At 40.0% G+C, this 14,285-nt stretch overlaps 1 long non-coding RNA gene across 1 annotated transcript in view; it reads right to left on the reverse strand.

Moving 5' to 3' along the window:
• Positions 1–13,547: 13,547 nt before the first annotated feature.
• Positions 13,548–14,285, reverse strand: part of LOC124905990 (uncharacterized) — a 118,030-nt gene continuing 117,292 nt past the window's right edge. Inside the window, exon 3 of the long non-coding RNA XR_007086283.1 lies at positions 13,548–13,799. This is a non-coding gene — a long non-coding RNA (uncharacterized LOC124905990). The remainder of the gene's footprint in view (positions 13,800–14,285) is intronic.

The following is a 14,285-nucleotide window of genomic DNA, read 5'->3' on the forward strand; positions in this document are numbered from 1 at the left end:
CTACAACATAAATAAATGTTGTAAACACTATGCCTAGTGAAAGAATCCAGTCATAAAAGACCACATATTGTATGATTCTATTGGTATGAAATGCCAGAATAGGCAAATCCATGGAGACAGAAAGTAGATTAGTGGTTGCCAGGGGCTAGGAGGAGGAAATAATGGGAAGGGAATATTAATTAGCACTGGAGTTTCTTTGGGAATGATAAAAATTGTTCTAAAATTAGATTATGGTAATGGCTGCACAACCCTGGAAATATACTAAAGAACACTGAATTGTACACTTCAGTGAACTTTATGGTATGTAAATTTTCTCAATAAATTTGTAAAAAGAGAGAGAGGGGAAAAAAAGAGATCTCAACTCCAATTTACCCTTGTTGTAAGACTCTGTGTTTCATTAATTACCATTCCCATGCATATCCAAATCTCTCATTGACTAAATAGCAGTTTGACATTTTTCCTGAAATGATCAGAGCTTACAAAAAGTTCAGATGCACCCTAATGTTCCCCCTCTGCATTTTTTAAACTGCTGTTTACTTCAGCTTTTATTTATCCATCTTCAATCTTTATTCATTATTTTCTGATTGTAAACAGCTTTGCACTATTTGCTTTGCAGAGGAATTTACTAGTGCCCCTAAGACTTGCATTGTTTAACAACCTCTTTCTTTAACTGCCTGCTCCTTTGCAAAAAGTCTTTGGGAGCAGTAAGAAGGAGGATTTTATCTTTATATGATGTATTCATAAACCTTTGTATATACTCAACCGTTAAAACTTCTCACAGATTGTGGCTGTAAAATACAAAGCTTGAATGATAAATTTCAACTGATGGGACCAGTTGTTTCAGAGACAATAAAACACATATCATATAATCTTACTTTAAACACACACTTCTTCACCCACAAACCCACCTCTGCAATTGGGAAATAGGCATAATGGAGAAATTTTCTGCAAGAAGGCATAAAAACCAGAGTTCTTAAAAATCTACGTCAATCTTCCTCCTCCTCCTCAACATTAACTTCCACTGCACTACTATTCCCCACTTTCCCTTCCTGCACCTTCTAGCAATCCCATGGTGATTTTTAATGATAGCTGTTCTCAAATTTGTTTGTAGTTTCTGTGTATGGACACTCCTGTAGGAATTTCCAGAGTATTAACCAACCGTTTGAGTAGATTGGTGATGGGGAGGGGAGAACATCCTTCCGCCTTAGGAGTGCACCTCAGGGGAAGACAAAGTGGTAATTGTATTGTGGTGAGTGAACGCAAACTGCTGAAGAAATAAGTCACACATCACCTCTAGACAAGGAGGCTCAGTTACAGGGTGAATCAGTTGTCCAAAGAGATGGAGAGTAAACACCAACCTCAATTCTGCAGAGACTGGGAAGCTCAATGGAGAAAGCCCATTTTTTATTCTTACCAACTATTCTGAGAGATGCTAAACATTTTGCTGGCGGGGGAATGGAATAGATCTGTTTACTTTTTCCCCCACCCCCGGTAAGTTCTCACATAGCCCTCTTTTCTATTTTTATGGTTTTCTGCATGTGCTTTGATGTTTTTCTATTTTTTCCCCATTTTCTCTCAAGAGCTCACTCTTAACCACAAAGTACAATGACAGGAAATGTACATTTGTTCAAGATAGTATAGAAATGGTTTACATTTTTGCTTCACTTTGCCCAAAGGGGAAGGTGTTTCCAACTACAAAATTAGGGGAAGAGGGAGGGCAGGCCACACACAGAGAATTTGCACTCTGGTTGACTTGAGTTCACTTTTAAATTTAGAGCCAAGGAAGCTTGAAACTGAAACAAAGGCAATGCATTTGGCTATGTGTGGCAGGAAATGACCTTTCCTATGTTGAAATGATAAAATAATTTACCATAAGAAATATCATTTAATAATGAGTAATAGTCTTTTGAAATAATGTGTTTTTTTAAAAAAAAAACTGGGTTTCTAACGTATTGTCTAGAGACAGATCCTAATTTGTTAAATAGGTAGGATATATAGTGTTGTGGAACAGGAGAAGAGACCACACCTCAACCACCCTGACAGTAGGATCAGAAGCCTGTGTCTGGGGCTAGAGATCCTCACATGCAGAACAGAGGTTATTGGCAAGTAGGTGAAAAGAAAACAGTAGGAATCAATGATATCAGGAGGAGAGTAAAACAGATAAGAAAGGGGCCCAGGACTGAGCTCTGCTGGGGGCATCAACAAATAGAGGAAAAGCTAAAAAAGGAAATTCCAGCAAAGGAGGTGGAGAAGGAGTAACCAGTGAGGTGGGACAAAACCAGAGAGGGTGCCACCAGCGTTTCCACACGAAGAGTGTTACAAAAATAAGGAAGTGGGCAGGCACATCGAACGAGCTGAAAGGCCAAGCATGAGGTGGACAGAGAAGTGACCATTACATCTGGCCTTTTGGAGGGCATGGTGACCTCTGCAGGAACAGAGGCATGATGAAACCTGAAGCCCCATTAGGTGAGGTGGAAAAGAGAATGAGAAAGTAGAGACTGCAAATTTGGACAACTTTCAAGAAGTTTGTTTGTAAAGGGAGTAAAAATTTGAGCCAGTGGCTGGATAGGAATGTCCAGTCATAGGATATCTATCACCTCAAACATTTATCATTTATTTGTGGTGGGAACATTTCAAATCTTCTAGTTATTTTGAAATAAACAACAAATTTTTATTGACTATAGTCACCCAACCATGCTATTGAACACTGGAACTTACTCCTTCCATCTAAAGAATCCTTATACATTTCTTTTATACTAGTGACAAATTTTCTCCATTTGTATTTATCTGAAAATTCTTATTTCACCTTAGTATTTAAGTGATGTTTTCATTGGATTTAAATTCTAGGTGGACTTTTCTTTTCTATCAGCACTTTAACAATGTCATCCCATTGTTTCTTGGCTTCTATTGTTGAAAATGAGGGATAATTTTTATCATTGTTTTCCTATAAACAATGTTTCTTTTTTCCTCTGGATGGGGTTTCAGCAATTTGATATTCTGTTCCCAAATGTGTTTTTCTTTATTTCTATTTTGCTTGGGGTTTGCTTAGCCTCCTGATTCTGTGGTTTGAGAATTTTTGTTTTGTTGTTGTTTTTTTTTTAAATGTAAAAATTGAAATACTTTGGCCAGTTTTTCTTCAAATATTTTTTCTGCCTTATTTTCTCTCTTCTACTTTTGGGGCCCCACTTATATGTATGCTGCACCACTTGATTCCATCCCACAGGTTATTGAAGCTCTGTTCATTTTTTTCTTAGTCTATTCCCTCTCGGCTTCAGTTTTAATAATTTTTATTGATGTATTAATGTTTACTTCCCTGTTGTGTCCAATCTGTGTTATCCCATCTAATAAGTTTGTTATTTCAGATATTGTACTTTTCAGTTCTAGGATTTCCATTGTTTTTCTTTCTTTCAATTTTGCCATTTTTACCTTGTCTGCCATTATATCTCTATGCTTCTCTAAATTCTTTACTGTATTTATCATAGTTATTTTATAGGACTTGTCTGTTAATTCCAAGATCTGGCTTGCCTCTTGATCTGTTGCTATTGGCTGTTTTTTTCCTGTTGTCTATAGATTACATTTTCCTGTGACATCCAATGTATGGCATTTTTTAAAAATTGTATTCAGAACACTGTGTATGATGCATTTTAGAAATTCTAAATTCTATTATTTTCCTCTGAACATTACATTTTGTTTTAACAGTATAATTATTGATGAATTAATTACTTGTCTCTTTTTTTTTTTTTTTTTGAGATGCAGTCTTGCTCTGTCGCCCAGGCTGGAGTGCAGTGGCGCAATCTCGGCTCATTGCAAGCTCTGCCTCCTGGGTTCACGCCATTCTCCTGCCTCAGCCTCCTCAGTAGCTGGGATTACAGGCACCCACCACCATGCCTGGCTAATTTTTTTTGTATTTTTTAGTAGAGATGGGGTTTCACCGTGTTAGCCAGGATGGTCTCAATCTCCTGACCTCATGATCCACCCGCCTCGGCCTCCCAAAGTGCTGGGATTACAGGCATGAGCCACCACACCAATTACCTGTCTCTTAAAGGCTTGGTTTAAGTTTCGTTAGGGTCATCTTATAGCTTTGCCATTAATCTTATGGTGGTTTTCTTAATCCTGGGATGTAGTCTTTACTCCTAAGGCAAGTCCCTTCTGTGGATTCAATGGGCAGCCTGAGATGTTTACCAAGCCCTTCTAACTTGAGAGGACATTAACTCCCAATTCTGTCTTCCCAGCAGTAAGCAGCTGAAGAATTTCGGTCAACTTTTCAGTCTTCCAGCTGATTATTTTCTCTGGGGCTTATTGGAATCTCATTGCATGCAGTCACAGTTGAACATCTGCCAAACATTTGAGAGGTGTTTACGTGTAGATTTGGGCTTCCCCCCACCCTCTGTGACCCTGTTTTATAGCATTTCCTTCCTTAATATCCAGCTGCTCTGACATCCCCAAACTCTAACCTCTGACTTTTCAAATCTATAATGCAGCCTCTTCCAGCTTGAGTTCTATCCTCCAAGGGTTGCATATACTGGAGAGTACTTTCAGGACAAAAGCCAAATAAATGCAGCTCATATGCAGTGCAGCTTTCTTTCAAGTGTCGTATGCCCTCCACTGTCTGTCATCTTTTGGTAACTCTCCAGTGCCTCCAAAGAGTACTTTATTTTTTAAATAGACTTTATTATTTAGAGCAGTTTTAGGTTCAGAACAAAATTGAGTGGAAAGTACAGTGTTCCTATATACCCTCTCCCATGCCCTACCCCCAGCTCACAGCAGCCTCTCTTACTCCAGGATTCTATGCCAGCATGGTACATTTCTTACAACTGATGAATCTACATTGACACAACATTATCATTCAAAGTTCATAGTTTACACTAGAGTTCACTCTTGGTGTTTCACATGCTATGCATAATGACAACATATCCATGATTATAGCATCATACAGAATAGTTTCAGTGTCCTAAAAATCCTCTGTGCCCAGACAATTCATCTCTCCCTCCTCCCTAATTCCTGGCAACCACTGATCTTTTTACTGTCTCCCTAATTTTGCCTTTTCCAGAATGCTATATAGTTGAAATCATATAATATGAAGGCTTTTCAGATTTGCTTCTTTCTCTTAGTAATATACATTTAAATTTCCTTCATGTCTTCTCATGGCTTGATAGCTCATCTCATTTTAGCTCTGAATAATATTTCATTTTCAGGATGTACCACAGTTATTTATTTATTTACCTACTGAAGGACATCTTGGTGGCTTTCAAGTCTTGGCAATTATGAATAAAACTGCTACAAACATCAGTGGCAGGTTTTTGAGTGGATATAAGCTTTCAACTCATTTGGGTAAATACCAATGAGTATAATTGCTGTATCTTACGATAAAAGCATATGTAGTTTTGTAAATTGCCACACTGTCTTCTAAGGTGACAATGCCATTTTGCATTTCCACGAGCGATAAATGAGAGTTTCTGTTGCTCCATATCCTCACCAGCACTTGGTGGTGTTGGTGCTTTAGATTTTAGCCATTTTAATATGTGTGTAGTGGTACTCATTCATAATTCTTTTCTTGGTGTTTTGTATGTGGAAGATTAGATTTTTCAGACTTTAAGCGTCATTGCTATTTTTCATGTGCCAGAGAACTAGGATTTTGAGATGGCCTAATGCTATATGGTGAGGCATTAATTGTCTTGGTAATATGGATGATGGTTTGCCCCTTGGCTTGGACAGTGAAAACAAAATTCCTTATAGAAATTTATTCTCTTTCTTGATGCCTATGAGCCTTCAGCTTTCACAGATTCACCCAAGAAAACATTCGGGAGAACTGAGTTGCTCTGGGGAGCAACTGAAAGAAATTTATAGTGTTTTACTAATCAGAATTTGTATTCTAAGAGTCAGACAGCTAGTTCAAGTAATTTTCCAGAAATAGAAGGAGAAAGGCACAGGGGAAAGGCAAAAAGATATTTGGGTAGTTTGCTTATCTTGATTTTCACTAACTCTTGGTGGTTTAAGACTACTACTTCACTTACGCTTCTTAGTGCTTCAGCACATAGTCCATGATCTGCCTTTGATATCACATACCTTGTGAACCTGTTTGTCAAATCAATTAATGTTTACAATCCCATCACCAATTCAGGATTCCAAAAGGAACTTCTCATATTGTTGCTATAAATTAAAGAGAGCATGAACACTACAGAACTGAGATCTTTTATTACATTCCCCAAAATATCAAACACAAACCATGGAATTAACTTTAGTATCAGAAATAGCATATTCATTGATCAATTCAGTGAGCATCAACTGCCTCCTTCCCAAGAAGCAGGAATTCTACTTTGGCTTCTTAAACTTAGTGTGTGGCAACGGAGCCCTTTGATACCTACATCTATTGATCATGCCTTCAGTTACTAAAAAAATTACGTGATCAAAATTCATTGAGTATGGGTTAAAGGCATCTTGCACATTGAAATTCAAAAGCAGATTCTTTCTACAAACCAGTTATTTACTGAGATCCTTGAGCTATTAGTGTCAAAGTGAAATAGAGTGGTCAGCAGTTATCTAGTAAATTCTTGATAAGTAAATTAAGCCATTCCTAGGCAATAAAATATCTGTTCTTGTTAATGGCAGCTTTGCTTCTTTTTATCCCAGAACAGTCTGATGTTTAGTAGCCCCAGTTATTATACATGTGCTCAGACAGAAATTTTCAAATTGTCAATTATTTGGTGAACTACTAACATGAATGTTTAAAATATTATGCTTCTTTCTACCTCTAATCATTTATTTATTCAATAAACATTTAGTAAGTTTTAGCTGTTTTCCAGGCTCTACACCAAGCCCTGGGGATAGCGAGAGGAGCAAAACTTAGCTCCTGCACTCAAGTTCACAGATATTCATAAATCATTATAGCAAGTGACACATACCATAACAGAATTGTCCTATGGAAACTCAAAGAGAAGATGACAGATAAGTACAGAAGGACGAAGAGGAGTGTGCTGGGCTGAGTCTGGAGAAAGGACACTCCCGTCGGAGGAGGTGCACCTGCAAAGACAGGAAGTTGTTAACACAGAAAGAACAGAGGAGGTGATATCCCGAGCCACGCCATGAGTATAGAAGAATGATGTGGGAAAAGAGGCTGGGCAGGCCAGTGAAGGCATCCTAGGAGCGGTACAGCATGCCAAGGAGTTTGGACCTCCTTCTGCAAACAGTGGAAAGCCACTGGGAGATTTTAAGCAGGACATACTCAGATTTATGCTTACAGATTCCTCTGGAAACAGTTGGGGGCATGGGCTGGAAGGGATAAGACTTGGGGCAAAGAAACAAGTCAGGAATTTATACAATTATCCAGGCAAGAAATGATGATGATGGCATATTTTTTAGCCATAAAAAGAAACAAACTACTGGTGCATGTTACAACATTTGAGGATGAACCTCAAAAATGCTATGCTAAATGAAAGAATCAAATCACAAAAGACCAAATATTGTATGATGCCTTTTGTGTGAAACGTCTAGAATTAGCAAATCTATAGAGACAGAAAGTTGATTAGTGGTTGCTTAGCACTGACAGCCAGAGGAATTGAAAGAATGGCTAAGGGATATGGAGCCTCCTTCTGGGGTCATGAAAATATTCTAGAATTGATGATGGTTATAGATGCACAACTCTGTGAAAATACTAAAAACCATTGAACTGTACACTTTAAAAAGATGAAATGTTATGAATGTGAATTGTATCTCAATTTAAAAAATTTATAAGAAAAAAAGAAAAGAAACGATGAGACCAGAACAAGAGAGGTAAAAACACTCTGATTCTGACCTGCAGATCTGTGTGGCTGGGGCTGCCACAGATCAGGACGGGGAATTCAGAAGGATGATAGCTCCTTCCCGGACATTTTGTTTGAAGTGCCTGCAAAATTGTACTAGTCAGCTTGGTCTGCAGTAGCAAAACACCATAGACTGAGTGGCTTAAAGCACAGGAATTTATTTCTCATGATTCTGGAGGCTGGGAAGTCCAAGATCAAGGTGCCTGCAGATTCAGTTCCTGGTGAGGGTCCCCTTCCTGGCTTGCAGATGGCTGTCTTCTCACTGTGTGGCTATAAACAGGAGTTCATGGAGGGGAAGGGATGGAGAAAGAACTCTGATGTCTCTCTCTTTCATCTTATGAGGACACTAATCCCATCATGGGGCTCTATCCTCATGACCTCATCTGAACCTAATTACCTCCCAAAGGCCCATCTAAAAATATCATCACAGTGGGAGTTAGGGCTTCAACGTATTAATTTCGAGGGGACACAAACGTAAAGTCCATAACAGAGGTATCATAAACCTAAGTCCATAACACAGGTATTATAAACATAAGTCCATAACAGAGGTATGAAGATGGTGATCATTAATAGCTAGGGGAACTTACAAGAGGGTCCAGAGATAAGGATTAGAAAGAATTTAACATATACTTAGTTCTCAAAACAATGGAAGTGAATAAAACAAACTAAGGAGGGCACATGGAGTGAGAAGAGGACTGGGGCTAGACCGCTAGGGAAAGTCATTGCAGACAGAAGAAGAGGTGGCCTTGAAAAGGGGTGAAATGAAGCTGTTAGAAAGCAAAGAGGTAAATAAATACCCCAAAACCCACCAAGTCCAGTCACCTCCTGAGCTCAGTGTTTTAAAATACATACTTGGGAGCATCTCTAAACACAATTTTGCTAAATCAGGGGATTTGGTATTCAAGTAGGCCCATCCTGGTCTGCGTAAGATTGCCATTGCACTGTGACCAGACTCCTAGCTGGACGCTGACCACAGGTTTCTGGGCTTTCATGAAATGGAGTGTATTCCTGCCTTTGTTCACCTGTCACGTAGCTGGGAACTTCACTCTCTATTCACTGCGCAGTTTTCATTTTCACTGTCCTACTAATGAAGTGGTTATGTTTGGCTTTCATCATAATTAGAGTTCATTTAGTTCAAGTGCTTTGTAATTAATCTTTTATGCTAATTAATCTTTTTATACATTAATATATCACAAAACTCATGAAAGCAAAACATTTTCCTTACTAGCAAATTAAATTAAGCTTCTTCAGCCTATAAGCAAAGCAGAAGGAAAAAGATCTAGACACATCAGGCCACAGAAAACCTCCTTTTGCTTAAAAAAAAAAAAAAATTGACTCTCGGGTCTACATTAAAATTAGCACTTGGAAAATAGGAAAAATAAAATCACCCAAGCCGTTCAGTTACCTAGTTTTCTCAGCAAGGTGTCCGTTCTCAACTAGCCTGTGGCTTGAAAAAAAACAAAGGAAGGGAGATTTTTCAATAGTCATTTTTATATCTAGTCAGGATTTCTTTAACTGATTTTTAAGTGTGAAGTTATGGAGCAAAAGCAAACACTGCCAAAGCAGATGCTCCAGCTTATGTCGTTTATTATTACCTTGCAAGCAATAAACAGGCCTTACAGGCAAGTCCTGCTTCATGATTTCAAAACATGTCTTTTGCATATTTTATCTGTCCTGATCCTCTCAGCAACCTGGGGCTGAGGCAGCGTAGCCAGGGGACAGGCCACTTGCATTCAAATCCTGACTTCATTTTCCTAGCTGTGTGTTGCTGGCCTTGTCACTTTATCTCTCTGTCTACATTTTCTCATTTCCAAAATGACTACTACTCATTAGAGTTGTTTGAGAATTAAATGAATTCATAGATGCAGATGTTTAGAACTGTACCTGGCATACAGCAAATGCTCAGTAAACATGATTAATATCATAGTTATTGTGATTATCATTGTTTTCTGAAGCCAGAGACACAGAAAGACAAAATTACTCAAGTAACATGTAGTAGAATTTGCACTCCTGTCTCATCTATTAGGAGTTCCAGATGCTTTCCACTCTGCCAATGACAACTGGGGTTCTGGGGCACAACCCAGCACCTTAGAGGATACAACCGAAAGGACAATAGGTCATGCTCAACCAACAGGGTGCTCTGTGACCAAGGTGCTGGAAAAGCCCCTCCCACACTCCTACCCCAGGTAAGAGCCAAGCTCAGGGTTTCTGGCTTACAGTCCCTCTTGGCTGGGCAAACTGCAGCTCGCGGATGCAGCCTATCGACTATGCTGTCTATCTGTATTATGACTAGACACAGCATAACACGTCTCTGGTTTTCTATTTAGGATACATTCCTAGAAGGGGAATTATTGGGTCAAACTGTTTTTCATCTCATGGTACAGCTTGCCAAATTATTTTCTGAAAAGATTGTAGCAATTTTTACCACTTGTTATGAGTAATACATGAGAATGTTGATCTTCGCCCTTACTAGTATTGAATTTTTAAAAAAATCTGTGTCAAATCAATGAGCTGAAAATAAATGCTTTAATATCATCTTAATTTATACTTCCTGAGTGTCCCCATAGGTTAAATGATTTTTTCCACATTTGTTGCCCACTTAAAGTGTGTGAGTGTGTGTGTGTGTGTGTGTGTATTGTTCATATCACTGGCCTATATTTTTCTATTTGGTGATGCTTTTGAAGTTTTCTTACTGCTTTTAAATATTTTTATAGTTTAAAAATATTAACAATTTGCCATGCTTATTACAAATATGTGCTCCCATTTGATCATTTGCTTTATAACTCTTTCATAGTGTATGTGTCCATTGTTTTTCTAAAACCATGTTATAGTTTTAATGCTAATGTCGTTAAATCTACTAATCTTTTCCTTTGTGATTTCTTCCATGGCTTTTATGCAATTTCAGTCACGTCTGCTCTCAGATTTTGCCCTTCCAAACAGAAGTTCTGGGCATTGTACTGCTGGTGGGAACCCATAGAGCCAGCCTCCCGTGGCATCACTCCCACCACTCTGGCCACCCCTGCCCAGATGCCTATGTCACCTACACTCACCTTTCCAAATGGTGAGAAAGAAATGCCATTTCTTTCTACTTTAAAACAAAAGTATTATGACAAACATGTTGATCTATGTGACCCAGGCTGTGTGCAGGCATTCTTGGGAGCCTTTCTGTAAAGAGACCCGGTCCCTTTTTCTCTGTCATTTAAAAGGCACTATGAGCCCTTCATTTATGCATGAGGCAGGGAATTTGGTTTACCTCCAGATACATCACACTGTGTTGCTCTCCATCAAGATCTGGCTTCTGTTTGCTTCTCATTCACTTAGATTTATCAGCCAGAGTAGTTGGATGTCATGAGAAACTTTAAAATTTGCTATGTGCTTCTCTTCCACGGTAGCTATAACCACTGAGAAAAAGATCTTGGCCAGCAACCGTGTGGCTCATGCCTGTAATCCCAGAATTTCGGGAGATTCTGGTGGGAGGATCACTTGCGGCCAGGAGTTCAAGACCATCTTGAGCAACATAGTGAGACCCCTGTCTCTAAAAAAACAAAAAGTCTGGTTCCTGAATACTCTAATCTCTAGAATGAGTTATATAATAATTATTATTAATGATATTTTGCATAGCTATTTATGGATCATAGGGTATTTTATCAAGATTGCATGGGCTAATCTTTATCAAGATTGCATTGGCTAATATCAGCATTGGCTAATATTTATAACACAATGTTGAATAGTAGCAGATAGAGTGATTATCCCTGTTGAATTTCTGATGTTAGTGGAAATGCCTCTAGAGTTTTCCCATTAAGTAAGATGATGGATTTTAGGACTAAGGCATAAATACTTTATTACGTTAAAGTACCCATCATTTCTTATTTTCTTGAACGTTTTCAATAAGGAAGCAATCTAAATCCATAAAGAAGGCATGGGAAGCCTTTTATCAAGATTATCTAATTTGATACTCCAAATCAAAAGGCAAGTTAATTTTTTCATTTTACAAATGAAGAAACTGAGTGTTCAAGTGACTTGTTGGAGGCTAAAGAGCCAAAAACCATGAATACAGCCATGACACAGATCTAATATCATATTTAATAAAACATGTTTCTTATTTCTAATCCAATTTTCCATTCATGACACCATCTTTTTTGGTTTTAAAAATTTGTCTTTTTATATTGAAATAATTTCAAATTTACCAAAAATGTTGTAAAATTAATACAAAGAATTTCTGTACACTCTTCATCCGCTTCCCAAATATTAATATTTCCATGTAACTACAATGCAATTAACAAAACAGAAAATTAGCACTGATTCACGACCATTATCTGGTCTACAGACCTCATTTAAATTTCATCAATTTCCCACTAATGTCCTTTTTCTGGTTCAAGGTCAAATCTAAGATCACATGTTGCATCTAATTGTCATATTGAGAGGTGACAGCGTGCTGGCAGTCCTCACAGCCCTCCCTCTCTCTCTGTGCCTCCTAGGCCTGGGCTCCCACTTTGGCGGCACTTGAGGAGCCCTTCAGCCCACCGCTGCACTGTGGGAGCCCCTTTCTGGGCTGGCCAAGGCCAGAGCCGGCTCCCTCAGCTTGCAGGGAGGTGTGGAGGGAGAGGCGCGAGCGGGAACTAGGGCTGCGCGCGGCGCTTGCGGGCCAGCTGGAGTTCCGGGTGGGCGTGGGCTTGGCGGGCCCCGCACTCCGAGCAGCCGGCTGGCCCTGCCGGCCCCGGGCAATGAGGGGCTTAGCACCCGGGCTAGCGGCTGTGGAGGGTGTACTGGGTCCCCCAGCAGTGCCAGCCCACCGGCGCTGCGCTCGATTTCTCACCGGGCCTTAGCTGCCTTCCCGCTGGGCAGGGCTCGGGACCTGCAGCCTGCCATGCCTGAGCCCCCCATGCCCTCCATGGGCTCCTTGCGGCCGGAGCCTCCCCGACGAGCGCCACCCCCTGCTCCACGGTGCCCAGTCCCATCAACCACCCAAGGGCTAAGGAGTGCAGGCACACGGCGAGGGACTGGCAGGCAGCTCCCTCTGCAGCCCCGGTGCGGGATCCACTGGGTGAAGCCAGCTGGGCTCCTGAGTCTGGTGGGGACGTGGAGAACCTTTACGTCTAGCTCAGGGATTGTAAATACACCAATCAGCACACTGTGTCTAGCTCAGGGTTTGTGAATGCACCAATCGACACTCTGTATCTAGCTACTCTGGTGGGGCCTTGGAGAACCTTTGTGTCCACACTCTGTATCTAGCTAATCTGGTGGGGACGTGGAGAACCTTTGTGTCTAGCTCAGGGATTGTAAACGCACCAATCAGCACCCTGTCAAAACTGACCACTCGGCTCTACCAATCAGCAGGATGTGGGTGGGGCCAGATAAGAGAATAAAAGCAGGCTGCCTGAGCCAGCAGTGGCAACCCGCTTGGGTCGCCTTCCACACTGTGGAAGCTTTGTTCTTTCAGTCTTTGCAATAAATCTTGCTACTGCTCACTCTTTGGGTCCACGCTACTTTTATGAGCGATAACACTCACTGCGAAGATCTGCAGCTTCACTCCTGAAGCCAGCGAGACCACAAGCCCACAGGGAGGAACGAACAACTCCAGACACGCTGCCTTAAGAGCTGTAACACTCACCGCAAAGGTCTGCAGCTTCACTCCTGAGCCAGCGAGACCACGAACCCACCAGAAGGAAGAAACTCCGAACACATCTGAACATGAGAAGGAACAAACTCCAGATGCGCCACCTTAAGAGCTATAACACTCACCGCGAGGGTCCACGGCTTCATTCTTGAAGTCAGTGAGACCAAGAACCCACCAATTCCGGACACAATATCTCCTTAGTCTTCTCTAATCTGTAATAATCCACTGGTCTTTGTCTTTCATGACTTGGACATTCTTGAAAAGTACTAGCCAGATAAGGTAGAGACTTTCTCCATTTGTGTTTGTCGGGTGTTTCCTCATAATTAAAGTCGCTTATGTATTTTTGGCAAGAACACCACAGAAATGATGTTGTATTCTTCTCCCTGCATATAAGGAGGCACATGATGTCAATTTGTCTAATTACTCACAATGTCAATTGTGATCACTTGGTTTCTCCAGGTTTCTCCACTGTAAAGACACTATTTTTCCGTATTTAGTTAACAAATATCTTTTAGGGGAGATACTTTGAGACTAATAAATGTCCTGTTCCTTATCATCTTTTTACCCACTACTTTGTTGTTTGCCAAACAATAGTTTTCTATTTCTATTATTCTCTCTTCTACCATTATTATTTCTTTCATTATCCTTTATTCCAACTAATATTTATTTATTAATTGCAATTCTTTTGTAATGAAGTTATTCCTTCTCCCTATTTATTTATTATTTGTGTCAGTATAGACCCATAAAATATTATCTTATTGTGTTGTAATTCACTGATATCATTATTTACTTTGTTCAAATTGTCCCAGATTTGGCTGAGGGCTGCTTCAGGTTAGCTCCTGTTTCCTTTTGGCATTACCATTATCTTT

This window comes from Homo sapiens, chromosome 2 (assembly GCF_000001405.40).
Source record: "Homo sapiens chromosome 2, GRCh38.p14 Primary Assembly".
Classification (NCBI taxonomy): Eukaryota; Metazoa; Chordata; class Mammalia; order Primates; family Hominidae; genus Homo; species Homo sapiens.